General features: G+C 33.9%; 1 long non-coding RNA gene and 1 pseudogene across 3 annotated transcripts in view; one reads left to right on the top strand and one right to left on the bottom strand.

Moving 5' to 3' along the window:
- Positions 1-25: 25 nt before the first annotated feature.
- LOC105379263 (uncharacterized) overlaps positions 26-22,576 on the bottom strand; it is a 104,681-nt gene continuing 82,130 nt past the window's right edge. For 2 of the 3 annotated variants that reach the window (XR_007061529.1, XR_007061530.1), the window contains one exon: positions 3,462-6,435. This is a non-coding gene — a long non-coding RNA (uncharacterized LOC105379263). Of the gene's footprint in view, positions 1,152-3,461; positions 6,436-22,576 lie in introns of those variants that run through there. The other variant, XR_007061527.1, reaches the window with a different exon arrangement.
- On the top strand, positions 16,563-17,160 carry RPL7AP76 (ribosomal protein L7a pseudogene 76; annotated as a pseudogene).

The following is a 22,576-nucleotide window of genomic DNA, read 5'->3' on the forward strand; positions in this document are numbered from 1 at the left end:
GAATTCTTTCAAGTTTTTCAAAGTGTTATGGTTAAGTCTAAATAGGAACTATACTTAAATTACTTTAGATTGTTTAGAATGAAAAATTATTTTTAATTTATCCAATGTTTATTTTATGTGTTCAGCATTCTGATGATTCTTTGAGAAGGAAAATAGTATAAATAGTTGAACATATTTAAAAACATCCACATTGATCACAATTATACATAATTTTTTAAAGTTCTTTTGATTTTTTGCTATGCTTTGTTAATTAATTGATTAATTGTACTGCAATTATAGCCATAATTGGAATAGGAACTGGACTGTATATAGTTTGACAGGTAGAGAAGTAATATTGTAAGATGAGAAGGAAAGGTAACAAATAGTTAAATGTGAGATAACTTGTATAATGGAATTTAAAAATTGTAATTAAATTTAGAAGTAAAATAAATGCTGACATAGATAAATGTGGTAAGAAACATAGAGCAATTTTCAGCAGTATGGACTTATCTTAAAACTGGCAAATGGATACCATCATTTTAAAACATTAATTAGAACTTTGGATCTGCTTTCCCCCATGCCCTATTAGTAGTAAATTCCTTATTGGCTCCCTTTTAGTATGTACATGCCAGTTTAATAATTTCAAAACCCCTGGAGTTTTTTTCATTTCAAACTTATTTTGATTGTTCTAAATGATAAGCAGAGAGAATCAGTCTTTCCTGGTTATTGCTTCCTTTTGTCACATGAGGTCTGTATCCAGAGCCACATATATTTTCTCGAGGTCTTCTTGGGGCACATTTGACCCTATGTCCTCCGCACATGAACAATAAAATTAGTTATCAACTAACATTCATATGACTTACCATGTTTCTCCAAATCATAGCCAGCCCGTGTGCCTGTACTTGAGTCAAGAGCCTCAGCACATCACCGGCTGAAGTTAATTTTAAGTGCAGGGCTTTTCCAAGCTGTGCAGCCTTGTTTGGTATGAAATTTCCACTTAATAAGGTTTTCTTAACTAGACTGTTTGAATACTTTTCCTCAGAGTTCTTGAACTCATTGTGCAAATTTTTCCACTTTTCATCTTCTATTAGGTCAGCGTACAATGCACTCACAAAATCAAAGTTTATTGTCACGTCTTAATTCTAGGATGGAATTCTAGGTGTCTGCCTTCTCTACATTTGCATAAAAAAAGAGGACATTTGGGGAAGACATAAATACAAACAAAAAACAAAACACAAAAGTTAAGTTAAAAATGATAACAATTTGCAAAAGTAGCTTATTTGAAAATAAAACTATAATTATTTAAGGATATTCTAAACCAATTTGCAATGTCAATTTGTTGAAGAAGACCATATTTTTATATATTAAGATTTATAGAAGTTAAAATTTTTATCTGAGCAATTCAATATATTTTTATGATAATAAATTATATAAATTCCAGCAGAAAATCATATTAGATGATTATGGTTTATTTAAGGATTCTAGTAAAATCTTTAACATAGAAAAATACTCATATTGGTATACGTACAGAACATAGTCATCTACCATTCATAGTTCAAGCTGGAGCTATTAAGAATATTAGATTGGATAACTCAATATCAACATTGATATCCATTGTAAATATATACAATAGAAGCCACTAATCTTACCAAAAAGATATAAAATTACTGAAATTTTTTACAAACAAGCTTTCATAATAATATTTATTTTCTGGGCTGTAGCATTAATTCTAAAAAATGACAAAAATTTGTAAGAAAACATATGACATAATTTTGACCTATTGAAATATTATTGAATGTGCTATTAATACAATAGTCATGAAAACCGTTATACAAAAACAAAGTGTTGTTCATGGCATTTACAGAGAACACATTGGTATGACTCCTTCAGGGTATTTATAATAAGTATGAAGCAAGATTTGACTGAGAATACTGAAGAAAACATTCACTTAATTTTTTGAAACAGCTCTGAATAGATGAATAGCATTTATTTAGGTTCTTTATTCTCTTTTGCTTCCTTTCTCCTTTCCTTCTTTTCTGTCATAGATGAGCCAGGCAAGTAACCCAAATGCATGATATGGACTAGGTGTAATAAAACTAAGCAGTGGAGAAATTGTGGTAAAATGAAGCATCTGAACTTTCTTGTGAAGATCAGCTTCTTAAGTCTATTCAGTGTAAACTGCCTCCACCTTATTTGATGTTTATCAAGATAAACCAAAAATACAAGATTGGAGAATTAAATATTGAAATAGTCAACTATGGGAATGTTCTCAATTAAAAAACAAGGAAGCAAGCAAACAAACAAACAAAAAACACATTGTGCTGGCCAACACTGTGAAAGCTAAAGTAACTCTGGAAATGTATTTGGATCAGTTACTGTAAATTTATAATTTTCCTTTAGGAAGTAGACAGTAGGATAAACCATTGAAATGTTTCTTTCTTGTTTTGATGTAGTTCCAATACTTACTAAATATGTGGCTTGGACATGTTAGCTTCTTTATTTTTAAAACAGAACAAAAATAGACATCATATTGATTTGAATACTAAATAGGATAGAAGTAATAAACCATATATGGCAATGCTTAGTACATTAGTAAACACTTGATAAATAAGTGGTAGCTATTATTATTGCTTGCCAAATAACTTTACAGAGGTGTCCAAAAATTCAAAATCCCACATGTCCTCAGAGTTATTTCTGCTTGCCAGGTGTCCCTGCTTAGAAATTAATAGGAAGTACACACCAAAATTTGACATTTAGATGTTTCATTCCACTTATTTGTCTTCTAGTTTAAAAATACTTATGAGAATTCTTTATATTTTTTAAAAAAATGTTAAATGATGAATAACAAAACAAAATAGAAAGCGTTATTTAATGAATTCAAATTCACAAAACCGCTTCTTATCCTAAAATATCTTAGATAGTTCTCATACTGCCCTCCTTAATAAACTCTACTTTCTTGCTCTGCAGATAATCACCTGCCTATGTTTCATTTATTTTTCCTGTGTTTCATGTTGATGATTCCTATGCATTTTTACTTTCTTCTACTATTCAATTATGAATTCTAAAATAAATGTGACATTTTTGCCTGTTTTTAACTCTAAATAGTTTTATAATTTCATTATACCATGACCTAATATTTGATTCAAACTTGAGTGGTTCGTAATATTAATTTGTATTAATTATCAGTGATGTACTATATCCCACTGTATAACAATAGCTTGAATTATATTTTGATTCTCTACTGATAGATATATAGGTCAAATCTAGGGTTTAAAGAAAATCCCAACACTGCTGCTATAAGCACTCTTACATGTTTCACTGTGTATGCATGTGTGAGAATTTTTCCACAATATATACTCAGAGGTACCCTTGCTGGATCAAGAGCAACTGTGCATTTTCACATTTTAGGTACTTCCAAGTTTTCTCCAAAGTGGTTGTACAGTGTATGTTTACCAGCACTGTAAATGTAAATGAAATATATCTTTATTACCCTTGGTATTATCACACATTTTCTTATTTACCAGTCTAATCACTGGTGAGATGGAATCAGGATTGATAAACCTATTCATGATTCCTCTTTTCTTTCTTCAAATTGCCTTATACTTAGGCTACTCTAATACTGGAATACTTTTCCTTATAATATCTTTCTTTATATTATCAACAGTTTTGAATGTTAATACTTTTTGCATTATAAACATCTTATTTTTTCTCCTATTAGCACTTTCCTATTTGTAATTGCATATTTTGAAGAATGGTGTTTTACACTTGTCATCAACTTAATATTTTTATTCAAGTTTAGCTCTTCTTTAATCATGTTTATATCATTTGTTAGCCTAAGCTGATAAATACTCTACTGGATTACCTTCTAGAAGTTTTTAAGCATTTATTTTCTATCTAGTTTTTTCAGATATCAAATAATCCCTCATATATTATACATTTCCCATGAAGTTTTTATTTACACTGGATGAATTTGTAGTTCTTTAACCATGTGAAACATTTCATTATGAAATATTTCAATAAAAATATGATGTATAACTTTTATCAATATGTTTTTGTTCATTCTTGCATATATTAGTTTTTTTGGCTATTAAATTTTCTAAGTGGAAACTTTTTGGTAAGATTTTTCTTTCTGGTTTAACTGGCTATCTGATCGAAAAACAACCAAAATATCTCCAGATGGATTAAAGAATTACACACAAAAATACAACTTTAGTGAAGTAGATCCATATGTTATCAAATAGCTTAAAACTAACTTTTGAAAAAAAAGTCAATGTGACTACTTAAAAATTTTGTTGGGCCGGGCGCGGTCGCTCACGCCTGTAATCCCAGCACTTTGGGAGGCCGAGGCGGGTGGATCATGAGGTCAGGAGATCGAGACCATCCTGGCTAACAAGGTGAAACCCCGTCTCTACTAAATATACAAAAAATTAGCCGGGCGCGGTGGCGGGCGCCTGTAGTCCCAGCTACTCGGGAGGCTGAGGCAGGAGAATGGCGTGAACCTGGGAAGCGGAGCTTGCAGTGAGCCGAGATTGCGCCACTGCAGTCCGCAGTCTGGCCTGGGCGACAGAGCGAGACTCCGTCTCAAAAAAAAAAAAAAAAAAAAAAAAAAATTTTTGTTCAGATAATTGCAGGGATACCAGTTTGAAATAATCTAACTTAAAATCATACATTTATGTACATAAAAATAAATTTGGTATCAATGAAAACACTAAATCTAGAAAACAATCTAACTTCTGAAATTATTCTAAAATAGTATAAGAATATATTTTATACATGCTTGTAATGTAGGAAGGGCTCTTTAAAAGTGTGACACAATTCATAAAGGAAAAAATGTTTAAAGATAAATACTGATTAATTCACTATTAAGCCAGATTCAGGTAACCCTACTACTAATTTACACAATTACATAGTGAATCTTTGAGGCTTAGATGCTAATATATATGAAGTAACTAAAATAAAAACTAATAAATTCCTTGTAATTGGTTTGCATTTATTTCAGCAGAAATGATATATTACTATTTTATTTATAATTATAAAAGCATGTGTTAATTTTCAGTATGCTATTCTGTAAGTGAAAGTATGTTTGAAAATTGTAATGGTGGAGAAAAATTTAGCTGCACTCTACTTAAAACTAAACATACACACATTACAGATAGAGTCCAATGAGTTTTTAAGAAATTTATTGAGCTATAATTAACATATTAAAAGCCAAAAATATGTAAGATAAATTATTAGATATGCTCTGACATATTTATACATCCGTGAGATCATCATTATTGTCAAGATAGTGAACATATAAATCCACAAAATGTTTCCTCATGACTACTTTTAATAATCCCCTTTTGCAATTATTGTCTCTCCTAATAAGCATCTTAGCTAGACAACTGCTGACCATCTTTCAGTATTGTATATTACTGTATATTGTATATTGGTGCATCCAGAAGTTTTATATAAATGGAATCATATAAGGTGCACTATTTTTTGGCTGGCATTTTTGCTTTACAGCAAAATTCTTTTGAAATTCATTCATGTTGTTGCATGTGTCAGTAGTCGAACCTTTTTATTGCTGAGCAGAATTTTGCTGTACGTATATATCACCAATTACTTGTTAATGAATATGTGGGTCATGACCACATTTTAGCTATTAAAGAGAAAATGCCTATGAATATTTATATACAACAATTTCTTTTTCATTTTTCGAGGGGGAAATATCTAGAAGATAAATGACTAGATTAAGTGGTAAGCATAGGTTTACTTTTTTAAGAAGCTGTCAATCTATCTATTTTACAAAGTGGTTGTCAATCAAAAGTATATTAACGTTTCAGTTCCTCCATTTTGTTGCATATACCTGGTAGGGTCAATATTTTTTTTCACTTTGGACATTGTAATAACTATCAGTAGTATTTCTTTGTGGTTTTCAATTCTTTAATGACTACAGATGTTAAAATTTTTTGATATACTTATTTGTCATCCATGTCTTCTATCATGACGTCTTTTTCAATCTTTTGCCTTTTAAAAAATTGGGTGATTTGTTTTATTTTTGATTTTTGACAGCTTTTATATATTCTTTATGAAAGTAATTTATTAGTGTGTTGGGGCTCCTTATGACCACCCTTAGGCTCAAAGATTAACTATAATGATTCACAGGTCTTAGAAAACACATTACATTCATAGTTACAGTTTACTACAATGAAAAGATACAGATTAAAATCAACAAAGAAAAAAAGCCCATGGGGAGAAATGTAGAAGATATCAGGTACAAGCTTTCAGGTGTCCTCTCCCAGTGGAATCCCATAAGAACACACGTAATTCTCCCAGCAACAATATTTGACAGCATATTGAAGTGTTGTCAATCAGAGAAGCTCATTTAAGTTTTGGTCTCCAGGGCTTTTACTGGGCATCAGTCATGTAAGGTGGTGCCTATATGAGTGATTTCAGCTACTCAGACTACAGCATCTGTCAGAGAAAATATAGCCATTGACTCTAAATTATATTGTTAGGATAAGCTTATCTGTTCAAATGAGCACAGCATGGTCCAAGGCCTCAGACGCTGAAAACCACTTGTGCACTGTACTCTAAAGCCAAAGATGTATAGAAACACTGTCAACAGGCAGAATATATTAAGGGCCCACAGGTTATCTTCCAAAAGCCAGCCAAGTGCCAGTTCTAAAGACAAACATTAGTCCTGATGAGATAAACCTTTCTTGGCCAATAAGATATATGCTATTCAAATGTTTTCTCAGTTCATAGTTTTTAAAAAATTATTTTTAAATGCCCTTTTCCATTCCTATTAAGCATAGTATTGAAAGTTCTAGCCAAGGCAATCAGGCAAGAGAAAGCAATAAAGCGTATTCAAACAGGAAGAGAGGAAGTCAAATTGTCTCTGTTTGCAGATGACAAGATTGTATATTTAGAAAACCCCATCGTCTCAGCTTATCTCCTTAAGCTGATAAGCAACTTCAGCAAAATCTCAGGATTCAAAATCAATGTGCAAAAATAACAAGCATTCCTATACAACAACAACAGACAAACAGAGAGCCAAATCATGAGTGAACTCCTATTCACAATTGCTACAAAGAGAATAAAATACCTAGGAAAACAACTTACAAGGGATGTGAAGGATCTCCTCAAGGAGAACTACAAACCACTGTTCAAGGAAATAGGAGAGGACACAAACAAATGGCAAACTATTCCATGCTCATGGATAGGAAGAATCAATATGAAAATGTCCATACTGCTGAAGTAATTTATAAATTCAATGCTATCCCCATCAAACTACCATTGACTTTCTTCACAGAATTAGAAAAACCTACTTTAAATTTCATACAAAACCAAAAAAGAGGTTGTATAGCCAAGACAATCCTAAGCAAAAAGAACAAAGCTGGAAGTATCATGCGACCTGACTTTAAAATATACTGCAAGGCTACAGTAACCAAAACAGCATGGTACTGGTACCAAAACAGTTATGTAGACCAACAGAACAGAACAGAGGCCTAAGAAATAAAGCCACACATCTACAGCCATCTGATCTTTGACAAACCTGACAAAAACAAGCAATGGGGAAAGGATTCCCTATTTAATAAATGGTATTGGGAAAACTGGGTAGTGGAAAACTGAAACTGGATCCCTTCCTTACATCTTATACAAAAATTCACCCAAGATGGATTGAAGCCTTAAACATAAGACCTAAAACTATAAAAACCTTAGCAGAACACCTAGGCAATACCATTCAGGACATAGGCATGGACAAAAACTTCATGACTACAACATCAAATGCATTGGCAACAAAAGCCAAAATTGATGAATGGGATCTAATTAAATTAAAGAGCTTCTGCACAGCAAAATAAACTATCATCAGAGTGAACAGGCAACCTACAGAATGGGAGAAAATTTTTGCAATCTATCCATCTGACAAAGGGCTAATATCCAGAATCTACAAAGAACTTAAACAAATTTGCAAGAAAAAATACAAACAACCCCATCGAAAAGTGGTCAAAGGATATGAACAGACACTTCTCAAAAGAAGACATTTATGCGGCCAAAAAACATGTGAAAAAAAAGCTCATCATCATTCGTCATTAGGGAAATGCAAATCAAAACCACAATGAGATACCATCTCACTCTGGTTAGAATGGTGATCATTAAAAAGTCAGAAAACAACAGATGCTGGAGAGGATGTGGAGAAATAGGAACACTTTTACACTGTTGGTGAAAGTGTAAATTAGTTCAACCATTGTGGAAGACAGTGTGGTGATTCTTCAAGGATCTAGAACTAGAAATACCGTTTGACCCAGCAATCCCATTACTAAATAGAAAAAGGATTATGAATCATTCTAGTATAAAGACACATGCACACGTAGGTTTATTGCAGCACTGTTCACAATAGCAAAGACTTGGAACCAACACAAATGCCCATCAATCATAGACTGGATAAAGCAAATGTGGCACATATACACTATGGAACACTATGCAGCCATAAAAAAGGATGAGTTCATGTCCTTTGCAGGGACATGGATAAAGCTGGAAATGATCATTCTCAGCAAACTAACACAGGAACAGAAAACCAAACACCGCATGTTCTCACTCATAATTGGGAGCTGAAAAATTAGAACACATGGACACAGGGAAGGGAACATCACACACTGGGGCCTGTCAGGGGGTGGGGGGCTTGGGGAGGGATAGCATTAGGAGAAATACCTAAAATAGATGATGGGTTGAAGGGTGCAGCAAACCACCATGGCATGTATATACCTATGTAACAAACCTACACATTCTGCACATTCTGAACTTAAAGTATAATAATTTTTAAAAAAGAGTAAAAATTTTCACTTTTGAAGAAGTTCAAGTTAATATTTTATTTTACATATTAAATGTTTAATGTCATATACAGCACTTATTTGTTTCAACTAAGGTCACAAAGATTTATCTTATGTTTATATCTAAGATTTCAATACATTCAGGTTGGCTTTTTATTAATGTTTATATATTTTGCAAGCTATGAATCAAATTTGTTTTTCTATTGCTTATAAATACCCAACTGTTTTACATTTCTTGCTTTGAAAACTCTTCCATTTCTTCAAAGCTGATACTTTCCCTGATGAATTGACTTGCTATTTAAAAAAAAAGATTTTAACTATATGTATAAATCTGTTTTTGTATTTTCTATTCTGTTCTGTTGATCTATTTAGTCTTTCTTGAGGACAATATCACACAGTCTTGACTATTTCAAAATCATGAACATGGTATATCTCCCCAAATTTTATCTTTTATTTGAGATATCTGGAAAGCATATAGGTCTAGAAGTTGAAATTTGTTCTACCTATATTAGTTAGTCTTCAAGTAGAAATGATGATGGAAAAGATTGCAGTGATCAAAATTACCTAGGGAGAATGTATAGCATGAAAGAGTAATAAGCAGTTCATGCAGATCTCTGATTTAGCTTACACACCTAGAGGAAGATTAAATGAAGATCAATTTGCAAGTGAATTTAAACTTTTGTGACAAAATTTTAGGAGCAAAATTAGGACACCGTGGTGTTACAGAATCTAAAGAACTATTTTGAGCTGCTTTTGAAAAATAAACATAAAAGTTACCAATCTGTATGACTGACTTTTGCAACACTTTCTCATTGAAAACACATATTCTACAAAAAAACATTATTTTTGTAACCTTATCATTTGGGACTCACTTTATCTAGCAGATCTAAGTACTTATACGTTTTTACGTATGTTCCCATCTATAAATTATCTGTTATATTGTCAATGACATTTTCTTCTTCTAATAAAAGCATGCTCAATTTTAACTATTTGTCTTAACTTATTTTGGAGATTCAAGGTACATTTTGTTGTTGTTTTTATTATTTTATTTTATTTTACTTTAATTTCTGGGATACATATGCAGAATTTGCAGGTTTGTTACATAGGTATACATGTGCCATGGTGGTTTGCTGCCCCTATCAAACCATCATCTAGGTTTTAAGCTGCATGCATTAGATATCAGTCCTGATGCTCTCCCTCCCCTTTCCCCCCACGCCCCAACAGGCCCCACTGTGTGTTGTTCCCCTCCCTGTGTCAATGTGTTCTCGTTGATCAACTCTCACTTATGAGTGAGAACATGAGGTGTTTGGGTTTCTGTTCCTGTGTTAGTTTGATGAGGATGGTGGTTTCCATGTTCCTACAAAGGATATGATCTAGTTCTTTAGATGGCTGCATAGTATTCCATGGTGTATATGTACCACATTTTCTTTATCTAGTCTATCACTGATGGGCATTTGGGTTGGTTCCATGTCTTTGCTATAATAAGTAGTATAGCTGCTGCAATAAACATATGTGTGCATGTGTCTTCATAATAGAATGATTTATATTCCTTTGGGTATATACCAAGTAATGTGACTACTGGGTCATGGGATTTCTGATTCTAGATCCATGAGGAATCTCCACACTGTCTTCCACAATGGTCGAACTAATTTTCATTCCCACCAACAGTGATTCAAGGTATTTTTGATGGTTTCTTTGTTTGTCTATTTTGCCTTTCATTTGTTTTTGTAAAGGGAGAAAATTTTGGGCTTAGGGAATACCATAATGCTTTAAACTTCGAGCTATTTCTTCTTTTTTTTCTCAAATAATGTCATTTTGTCATAGATCTCTGAAAATGACCTTGAAAACTTCCCATAAAAATCAACAGAACTTACGATGTTCAGAGCATAAGAAATAAATGTCACCTTCAAGATTCATCAAAATGAGCTTAGATGAAATTTTAATTGCCATACTCAAGCCACTTAAATAGTTAACCAAGACATTCTCCCTTGTTTCTACAGTGATACATAGTATTGAAAATTGCTTTGACTGCACACTCAAATTATTACAATTCAACTTTCTTCAACATCATAAATTGAAAGGATATCATGTGGATCTTTGTTGTTCCCAATTAGGATTGAAAATAACTTCTGGCCAAATTAGTAGTGTAGAGACTTATGGAATGAAGTCAATTTAAAACAGAATTTTTTTGAGTTAATGGTAAGAAAGAGTTTGTTGCAATAAAATTCTTTGAAATTTTAGATATGAAATTGGTACAAAAACTTAATACAAATTCATCTACCTGATTTTTTGTGGCAATGTCATAAATAAAAGAAATATGGTCTCATCTTTCCTAAATATTTTGCTCATGCTCTTTGACAATACCGTAAAATGTACTTAAACTACATAAGAATCTTCCAGTAAAATAAAATGCAACATTTCACTCAGAAGTAAAACATTTTTAAAATAGTGTCCAACAATTGCTTCAAGAGGGTGACAACTTATGAACACCCTGCTCTAAGTGTTTCCACCCTAATTGGTTTCTTTCTTTTTTTTTTTTTTTTTGAGACAAAACCTTGCTCTGTTACCCAAGCTGGAGTGCAGTGGTGTGACCTCGGCTCACTGCAACCTCCGCCTCCTGGGTCCAGCGGATTCTCCTGCCTCAGCCAACCAAGTAGCTGGGATTAGAAGCAACTGCCACAATGCCCAGTTAATTTTTGTGTTTTTTGTTTGTTTGTTTGTTTGCTTTAGTAGAAGTGGGTTTCACCATGTTGGCCAGGCTGGTCTCGAACTCCTGATTTCAAGTGATTGGACTCCCAAAGTGCTGGAATTACAGGCATAAGCCACCATGCCTGGCCTCCCCTAATTTGCTTCTTTAAACCTCTCTACATCATCACAAGATGGGTGTTACTATGATCACTATTTTACAGGTGAGCATATGAGGAACAGAGAGGTTAAGGAGGAACAGGGTGATCTGCTACAACTCTTCAGCAGGGCATTCTGGGCAGGACTGTCTAACTTGTGAGAGGCAAGGGGACTATTTATAGCCTATGTATTCCCGTTAAAGTAACAAACATATATCAAGAATAAATATTACAGTATATTTCTAGCAACCATCTAGAAATAGGAAATAGTATCAGTACCATATTGTCAGATGACAGTAGGATTAAATAAAACCGGAGTAACTAAGTAACTGACCCTTTATTCCCTGCATTTAAAAGAAAAGTATGTCTTGGAGTTGAATTAAGTAACCTGGGATAGATCTCTAAAAATCTGTAAGTGAAACAGGGGTCACATATTAACATGTTATACTAGAAACAGTGTCTAAGAGAGGAATTTGGCACTGGAATCTACATAGGGAACAATTAAATTATCCATAAATGTTTTTTACTTTATCTTGAAAAAGGTATAGTACCAAAAACTCCACAAACACTGCTAGACCCTCCATAATACGTGTGGGCTCTAAGATAAGAGTGGAAATAGAGGCCCACATAACATGTGTATAAATATTTTAACATTATAAAGCAAACTACTCCAATAATCTGGCCTGCATTTCCACCTAGGTTCTCAATGGCCCACTTCCTGACCACCACCCTCTGGAGTCCAAAGGAGATTTGCTTATTCCCAATGTTATTCCTGCAGGTCAGCCAAAGAGGAGCAAAGAGTCATCCACCTCAATCATGTTCAGGAAATGATCAGGTCAAGATGTGGAGTGAGCCAGCTTTTCTCTTTCGTGCCACATTTTCTGACCCAGCATTTCAAGGTACTTCTAATACACAAAGACTATTACAAGAGGGAGGAAAGAAGGAAGGTCAGTTATCTGAAGAACTGAGGCTAGCTAGAAGCCCAAATTTGGTGTGATGGGGGCCATCAAATCTCAACAGAAACAGCTTTCTCTCTCTGTTATCCTGGACAGGGCTTGTGATTTTTTTTTTTCCTCCACTCAGCCATAGACTCTCAGCTACATATCCTCTAGCCTGGAGTAGTCAAATCAGCTCATCTCTTTCTCTCTCATACCAAACTTTCAAAAACAAAACAAAACAAACCAAAAAACACTTTGTTATTGGAATAAATGAGAAAAATGTATTTGTGTTTAAATATCTGTGATACATGGACCATCAAAAGCCTCGCTGCTAATGAAGGCAATTATTTAGGTTTACTTAATCTATTAACTTATCAGTTAATAACTGCTATTTATTCTGCTAGAAATTCCCAATGGTATAATTGTTTCTGGCTGTAGCTCCTTCCATGCTTTGTACATCTTACTTGTGGTAGGCAGAATCACAGCTCTCCACAAATGATGTGATTTGGCTGTATCCCCACCCAAATCTCACCTTGAATTGTAATAATTCCATGTGAAGAATGGGGTCAGGTAGAGAGAATTTAATCATGGGGAAGGTTTATCCCATGCTGTTCTTGTGGTAGTAAATAAGTTTCACGAGATCTGCTGGGTTTATAAACGGGAGTTCTCCTGCACAAGCTCTCTTGCCTGCCACCACGTGGGATGCAACATTGCTTCTCATTCGCTTTCCACCATGATTTTGAGGGCTCACCAGCCATGTGGAACTATAAGTCAGTTAAACCTCTTTCTTTTATAAATTACCCAGTCTCAGCTGTGTCTTTATTAGCAGTGTGAGGACAAACTAATACAACGGGTGTCCACATTCTAGTCCCCAGAATTTGTGAATATGTTAGTTGCATGGCAAAGGAAAATTGAAATTGTAGACTAAACTAAGGTTGTTCGTCAGTTGATATTAAGATAGGAAAGTTATTCTGGATTATCCTGATGGGACCAAAATAATCAGAAGGACATTTACAAGTGGAAGGAGGCAGAAGAAGTTAGAGTGATGAGATGGGAACTCACAAACTGCCATTGCTGGCCCTTTAAAACAATTTAAATCTTGTTTTATGACACATAATTATTGTACATATTTATGGGATACAGTGTGATGTTTCAACACGTGTATGTATAGTTTAAATATTGAATCAGGATATTCAACATATTCTTCACTTCATACATCTTTGATATCTTTACGGTGAGAGAATTCAAAAATCCTCTCTTCTAGCTATTTTGAAATATACAATACAATATTGCTAACCATAGTCACCCTGACTCCATTCCTCATTTTAAAAATGGAGGAAGGGACAGTGATCAAAGGAGCAAGCAGCCTCTGGGCTGTGGAAAACCAAAGGAAACAAACTCTTCCCACAGACCCCCCCCCAAGAAAAAACCAACCCTGGCAGTATCTTGGTTTTACCATGGTGTGATCAAGTCAGATTTCTGTCTTACAGAACTGTAACATAATAAATCTGTATTGTTTAAGCTACTAAGTTTGAAGTAATTTTACTAAAACTTGAAAGGAATTTACATTTTGCTTTTAAAGTTCTTATTTTTGAAACTTTAGACAGAGATCAACAAATCCTCAACAAGAGATAGCTCAATTTTTACCTTTGCAAAAGGAATTATGTTACATATCTATGAGAATGAATAACTACAGCACAGAAAAATACTCATAAGTAATATATTATTTGAAATCAGGAGTCTAATAAGAGAAAATGCAAATGTACCCTTTTCTATAAGATTTAGATAAATTACATGAAAAAATATGTGTGATAAGAGGTATGTGTTCTGAGTTAATACATATAAAATCTGAAAAAATTGCAACAGGAACAATAAATATGGAAATTGAAATCACAAAAAAATCAATGAATTTGAAGACCATTTGGAGAAATGCTTATATCATCCTAAGATTAATTTATTCTAACCATGCACCAGTGATAGTATTATAAGAAGAAATAAATTCATTATCATTTTTTACTGTATTTATTTTTTAAGACAGAGATTGGTACTAATTCAGTAATGGAAAACTAATTGTAAAATTTGTACTGTGGTAAATTTGGAAAACAAGGCATGGCACAGAAAGAGTATATAATAAAATCATTTGGCATAAAGGCCATTTGAAATGGATTAATTATAGTGATGAAACATGTCATCATTTCCTGGACAAGTAGGGAAGATAGGCAATGAGAAGGCTATGGAGGAGAGAGAAGAGAGTAGAGTCCATAGAGTGACAGTCTTCAACAGGTTAAAAACCTGTACGAGTTCAGGTCTTGAACAAGCGATATTGGATGAAATGGGAGGTAGAGAGGACCAAAGAGTAGGATTTTTTTTTTTTTTTAATATTGAGAAACATTTGCTGTCTAAAATAGAGAAGAAATGTTATTAACATGCATGGTGGTCAAGAAACTGACAGGTAAGATTTGAAAGAGTTACCAGTTTGAGGTAAGCACAATAGAGAATAACGACAGAGTTTATAATGGAGAGAATGTCTTTGAAAGCCAAAAGCAAAAGTTGTCTTAATAGAGAAAGAAACCAAACAAAGGTTTGAAAAAGCATTTGAATGGAAAGTTTGGTGTAGACGTACGTTATGAACCATAAACTGTCAAAGTTTATTGGTGATGCTTGCTGGTTTATTTACTTGTTGGTTTTCAGAAGGAAAGAACTATAATAGACTGATAACTACAAATTAACTGAAATTGTATATACCCCGCCTCCTCATGATTAGGCAGGTGAAGATGGGGTGAGCAAAATAGTAGCAACCCATTGAAAGGGCTGTTGAAGGGGTTATATTTTCCAGACATATCAGGAGTTCAAGTTGTTATTAAAAATGCAAAAAGAGTTTGCTAATCAGAACATAAGCATTCAATATCTATCACTATCAAGTTGTGAGATAAGGGATAGGTAATTGATTCTGTTGGAAAAGCAGAGTCATACAATGATGACAGTCTGATAATACCTCTGTGACTTGAAAGTGACAGAAGTAAACAGGAACATGAAGCAAAGAGTTTTAGTTCTGATAGTCTCTTTGAGGAGGAGGAATAATGGCACTATTGTCATTTTTTGAATATTTCCCCTAGTATTTTTAGGGATTTCACAAATCGTTCTAATGCCTTAAAGGACTACCACTCTGGAACATCGCTCAAAGCAATGTTCTTGTGAGGATTAGGCTTAATGAAAAGTCCTGTAATGCTTGGACACATGGAAAGCTGACCAGTATTAGATAAAACAAAATTGTTATAGTTGGGAATTATTACTATACATATTTTCATCATCATTTTGCAACATTTATAATTTTTTCTTAATGAAATATGTTGATTTTTCAGTGTTTTTAAAGTAAAATTGTATTACATTTAAAAAATTAATAGAGAACTATTCTGTTGAAGACAATGAATGCATATTATGCTTAACATGTTAATATGTGTTTCACATTATTTATAGATTTTGTCTACTGCATTGAAATTTGCTAGAATGCTGCATATGTAGAGCTTAATGTAATCACTTCCTAACTATAATCTCTGGAGCCAACCCAGTTACAATAAAATTAACTCTAATTTTGTGTCTTTTATTTGTTTCTACTTCTAGGTTAAATGTGGTTTGAGAAAAGTGTTTTAGAAAACTTTGAAAAATCACTGGCTTGTTAGAATGCATGTTCTATTAAAAGATATGAGTCCTATCTCCAGGTTACTTAAAATATTAGTTTTACTCCAAATTGTATTCTAGTTTCCCTATCTTTAAAATATGTTCATGAAACATTTCTCTTCTCTTATGAAGTTAAATGTTCTTTTAAGTTTGAAATTTATTAGAGAACTCTGATATATGATTTTTAAAAAATAACACTCTGAATTACTTTCTAAAATGGAAAGCAACCCTAAAACAAAAAGATATTACCAATATTCAGTTTTACCTCTGGCTTCAACTTATTTTTCTCTCAAGATCTTATTATTCTGTTCTCCAGCTACCCAAGGTGCGAAAAAGAAAGAAGGCCAAAGGGAAGAAGGTGGTGCTGACCCTTGCGGTCTTGAAAAAGCAGGAGACCATGAAAGTGGTGAATCTTCCATTTGAGAAATTTGGCACTGGACAGGACATTTTGGCATTGGACAGAACATCCAGCCCAAAAGGGACCTCACTTGCTTTGTCAAATGGCCCCATTATACTAGGTTGCAGCAGCAGAGAGCCATCCTCTATAAGCAGCTAGAAGTGCCTTCTGTGATTAGTCAGTTCACCAGGGCCTTGGACCACCAAACAGCTGCTCAATGGGGTAAGCTGGCTGGCAAGTACAGACCAGAGACAAAGCAAGAGAAGCAGCAGAGACTGTTGGCCTGGGCTGAGAAGAAAGCAAAGGAGACATCCCCACTGAGAGATCACCTGTCCTTTTAATGGGGGTTAACGCTGTCACCACCTTAGCGGAGAAAAAGAAGGATCAGCTGGTGATGACTGCACAGGACAGAGATCCCATTGAGTTGGTTGTCTTCCTGCCTGCCCTGTGTTGTAAACTGGGGGTTCCTTACTGCATTATCTAATGGAAGGCAAGCTTGAGACATCTAGGATTAAAAAACAAACAAACAAACAACAACTCTTAAAAATATTCTTTTAAGGTCTCTGGTTTTCCTAGGCAGAGGACCCTGCGGCCTTCCGCAGTGTTTGTGTCCCTGATTACTTGAGATTAGGGATTGGTGATGACTCTTAACGAGCATGCTGCCTTCAAGCATCTGTTTAACAAAGCACATCTTGCACCGCCCTTAATCCATTTAACCCTGAGTGGACACAGCACATGTTTCAGAGAGCACAGGGTTGGGGGTAAGGTCACAGATCAACAGGATCCCAAGGCAGAGGAATTTTTCTTAGTGCAGAACAAAATGAAAAGTCTCCCATGTCTACTTCTTTCTACACAGACACGGCAACCATCCGATTTCTCAATCTTTTCCCCACCTTTCCCGCCTTTCTATTCCACAAAGCCGCCATTGTCATCCTGGCCCGTTCTCAATGAGCTGTTGGGCACACCTCCCAGACCGGGTGGTGGCCGGGCAGAGGGGCTCCTCACTTCCCAGTAGGGGCGGCCGGGCAGAGGCGCCCCTCACCTCCCGGACGGGGCGGCTGGCCGGGCGGGGGTGCTGACCCCCCCCACCTCCCTCCCGGACGGGGCGGCTGGCCGGGCGGGGGGCTGACACCCCCACCTCCCTCCCGGACGGGGCGGCTGGCCGGGCAGAGGGGCTCCTCACTTCCCAGTAGGGGCGGCCGGGCAGAGGCGCTTGTTTATCTGCTGACCTTCCCTCCACTATTGTCCCATGACCCTGCCAAATCCCCCTCTGTGAGAAACACCCAAGAATTATCAATAAAAAAATAAAAAAAAAATAAAAAAATGCAGTCTCTAAATTTTGGGGGAGACTGATTTCAGTAATAAAACTCTAGTCTTCCAAAAAAAAAAAAAAAATTCTTTTAAAACTTCTAATTATTAGGTTTTTTTTTTTATCTCTTCAGTACATCAAAATGTCTGGTGGTAGGAAAATACTGGACTCATATATGACTGTCTACGTGATTTGCAGGGCCCAGTGCAAAATGAAGTGGATGTTGTACCTCGTTCAAAGTGTTAAGCGTTTCAAGATGGCAACAGCAGAGCATTAGGCCAAGTATGAGGTCATTATGTACATGGGTCCTTGTGTGACCACAGAGGTCACAGGAACATGAAGCTAGACCTGAGTGTATATTCAGATAGGTAAATCTTACAGATTTTTAAAACTCAATAAAAGAAAAACTACATTTCATGTGTGAACACAAAAATTGGAATTTAATTGGCAATAGCATTGGGATTTGTGCTCAGAGTCACAGTTTACATCTGACCACAATTTCTATATGAATTTTTTAAGATAAAACAGTAAGAATTTTAAAGAAGGTTTCTGAAATTTAAAAATTATAATAACATAATTAACTTTGATATTTTAATTCCATGTAATTTAAAACATTTAACAGATATATAATGTTCCACTATTAATTTAACTAGATGTATAAAAATAAAACATATATAATAAAAATATTCTACTTATTTTTAAATTATCTATATTATACTGAGTAAAAGAAAATTTAGGAATATAAATAAATGAGCATTTTTGAACATGTAAAAATATTTTCTTGCTGTTTTTAGGAGACTTTTAGCAGGACAGGAGCTTACCTCTCATCTACCTCTGCTTGGACAAACCAGTGATGTGATTTGCAAATAGGCTGTAACTTCACCGAAAACACATCACAGTAAAGAAAGGTAGTGACTTTCAGAGAATTTGACCTAACTTAGAATTTGTAAAAGAGAAAAGCATTGTCCTTATGCCTAAAGTACATGACTGTTTCTTTTTAAGTTACATGTATATTTACCTGACCAATTTGTTTTACTCTGTATTTTAAGTTATCAGGTGAAATGGTTTTGGAATAAATTAATGAGTTGTTTCTTCTGAATAAATGTGCATGTTACAAATGCAAACACGTGTATGTATTATACAACTATGCAGCTTCAAGAGCTGACTTATTTCTATCAGCTTTTTATTCCCTTAAAAAAATCAGGCTACTGAAGCATATTAGAATTTAATTACACCAATTAGTACTGCCACATCAGACATATGATGTGCCTTCAATTAAGAAGTACCTAATGGGTATTAGTACAATTTAGCTTCATAATTAAAGTTCTAAGAACAGCACAAATTAAACATTATGATTACAAAACATTAAAAATCTACTGGTGAAATTAAAGCTGAATATTTAACTTCTCCTTTTGAGCTGATTTTAAAAAAGAAAATCAGGATTATATAAAATGCAATGTTATTATTGAAGCATTCTGAATTTAAAAACAGAAATTAAGCTCACATGCCCATAAATATGTGCATATATAATGATTAAATATTTAGTAAAATACCCAACCTAACACTTGTGCCACCTAATAAGCATTAAAGGTTATCATTTTGGAGTTTCACTTGATTGGGTTTTGTTTTGTTTTGTTTTTTTCATAGAAATATTTGATATATGTGGTCACCACTCACAACTCTTGCTTCAGTGAGCATGGATGACAGGCAGCCCCAGCTACTGTTTTTCTGGTTGTATGACTATCTTTGCACTCAGACCATATTTTCTCTGGCTGTTCCTGGCCAATGACTGAGCATGCTCGGAGTATTGATGAAGGCCATTTTTAAGATTTGTGATAACCTTCCAACAGAAGACTTTGGACTGGAGACTCCTATTGTCCGGGCCAAAACTTCCTAAACTGTGTTTCAGGCTGTGACTCTTTCATTCTCATCCTTCTTCCCCTCCTTTGACAGAAGCCAGGCTTGCATCACTGAAGACTCCCTGCACTTAGATCTGCTTTTTCTTCTTAATCTTTAACTAACGTTCCTCTCATAACCTTTTGAGTGACTTATAATTGCATAGTATCAGCTTCTTGGAAAACCTGACTTGATAAACTATCCTATTTGAAATACAGATATATACGCATTTAACAATTTTTGACATTATTAGCACATTGAGTATTAAATAGTATCTGAAGAGAGATACCTTTAAAAATGAAAACACCTTCCTATTGGGGTTTTCTTCAAAACAAATAGATTATTTTTAAAAAGATTACAACTATAGCAACTTCAGTCTCTCCTGTTTTATCTACTAGAGTGATTTGCTTCCTCTGCCTTTCTTAAAGTGATTGGTTAAAATGTTTTAGCACTTAGCAGTTTCTTCCTAGTTTTGCAGCTATGGCCCTGAAATGGCTTATGAGTAAGGCAAATAGAAGATGTTCTTACTGGGCTAGTGCTTTTATTTCTCTCTTTCGCTTGTTCTATTTTTTAAGTGAAAATGGCATTAGCATCTTATTTGTCAGGCTTTCATTTTCGTGTTTGAGAATTCCACTTGTAGATAACCAATAGCTATAACCTGTTCAGGTCTTTAAAAAATATAGCTTATTGAATGAGCAGTCACACACAAGAAATTCCGTTCTTCCCATAGTCCATCATGCTTTACCCGTATTCAGCTTCTCACTTCTGTATCTAAAAACACTAGATTTTATCATTCTACTTTAAAGTTTCTTTTTTTTTTTTTTTTTTACTTTTCCTAAAATACTCAAATTTCCATAAAGGAACAAGGGATAAAGCTTAAGCATAACTTCAAAAGAGACATAAGCGGGGTGAACAAGATCCAGACACAGGCTCTCTTGATGTAAACATAGACCTTTAACCATGTGCAATCTGTCTATTAAGAAAATAGAGGACTCTAAACACAAAATTAAGAGTATAGTTGTCTCTGTGTGACTGAAAAAGAGTGAAAGATAACTGCAAAATTATTGATACTGTTCTTATGCTTAAATTGGGTTGTGTGCTTACATGTGTTCATTATGTTAATATGTCTCATAGGTTAGGTATCTTAATCAAATATGCAGTTATATAAATACAATACACTGAGATAAGATAACTAGCAACACATTGAAACAAAAAAACGAGAATAGGATTGAATACTGTCACGATCTTTACAAGGCCTGGCCTTTCACTATGTAAATAGATATCTTTTAGTCCAAGAAATCACAGAACTTACACATTTTTAGGAAAAGAAGAAAAAATTCATAGAATAAATTAATTTTATGTCCTGTAAGCAAAAGTCTACTAAGGTGAATTCATAATATCCCATAACAGCAAAAAAGAATGCATTCAGAAGTCCTAAATCTATAAACAATAAAAATAGTTAAGCACATAGAATTTACTTAAGTTCAAAAGCATCATGTTCATTAGACTTATATAATTCTTGTAGCATTTAGTACATCCTGGATAATTCTTATTCCCATTATTTATTGCTAAGCACATTGAAATTTCACATTAATAATATTATTATTTTTTAACTTTCATTTGTATTGTAACTGTTGGTTTTAACTGATGAAGATGCAAAACAAAAATAAACATTCAGGTAAATAACTATTGTCTAGAAAGATCCAACCTGTAAGCTAGCAATATGGTTTGATTCTTTCTTTTAAAGTTATGTTATTATAAGTATATAAGCAATTCAGATAATAGATCCTGGGTTATGATGCATATCCTATTTGCATAAGCTTAATATATTTTAAAGATAACCAAAAAAGATAATGTATAATTAAAACTATAAATAAACACATTACTCAACATAATTACTCCTTAAATATTCAGTCCATTTAATATAGGTCTTTGCTGCCGTAAATGAACTCCCATGAGCTTCTAGAGGACTCGTTTTATTAAATGTTATAGTCTCTGGCTCTGACCAATCATAGCGCTGTAGACACTGTTATAAACAATGTAATAAGCTGCTAAAAAAGCAAGAGGTATTTTTTATTTTTTTGTAATTTGATTTTATTATCATGTTTTCATACCCACACAAAATAATCAATACATTAACATACAACCATCACACATATTCAACAATTATCATAATTTTGTTGTTTCTGCTTAAGGTATCCCTGTTCTCTTCTTGCCAAATTATTTTAAAAATATATCTCAGAGTGTAATTTTATACCTACATACTTAAGGATACATCTCTAGAAAATGCAGATATTTAGTAATACATTTTTACACAGTTAATTTATTTTTCTTCAGGATCTCAATTCAAATATTGTTTGTTATTAAAAAACTGTCTCTAGCATATGTTTTACTATATATTTAAGAATATAATTTGGAAAAAAAAGTCTGACATATAGTCCATGTTCAATTTACCTCTTCAACTAATCTACTAAAAGGAAAAAAATGACACCAATACTTCTTACTCTTCCCTGAAGTTATGTTATGATATTTTTAGATTTTGAAATCCTGTAAAGTGTGCCCATTATTGGTTTCAAGTACATGTTTCCTAACTCATTTCAATCTCTTCTATAATCAAGTGCAAGAGAAAATATAAAATAGGCCCCATGATTGTAGAAATAAAAGTGGAAAAAACTAGCCTAGAGTTCATAAAAGTAGACATATAAAAATCTTAAAATGAT

The sequence above is a fragment of the Homo sapiens genome, chromosome 9, assembly GCF_000001405.40.
Source record: "Homo sapiens chromosome 9, GRCh38.p14 Primary Assembly".
Lineage (NCBI taxonomy): Eukaryota > Metazoa > Chordata > Mammalia > Primates > Hominidae > Homo > Homo sapiens.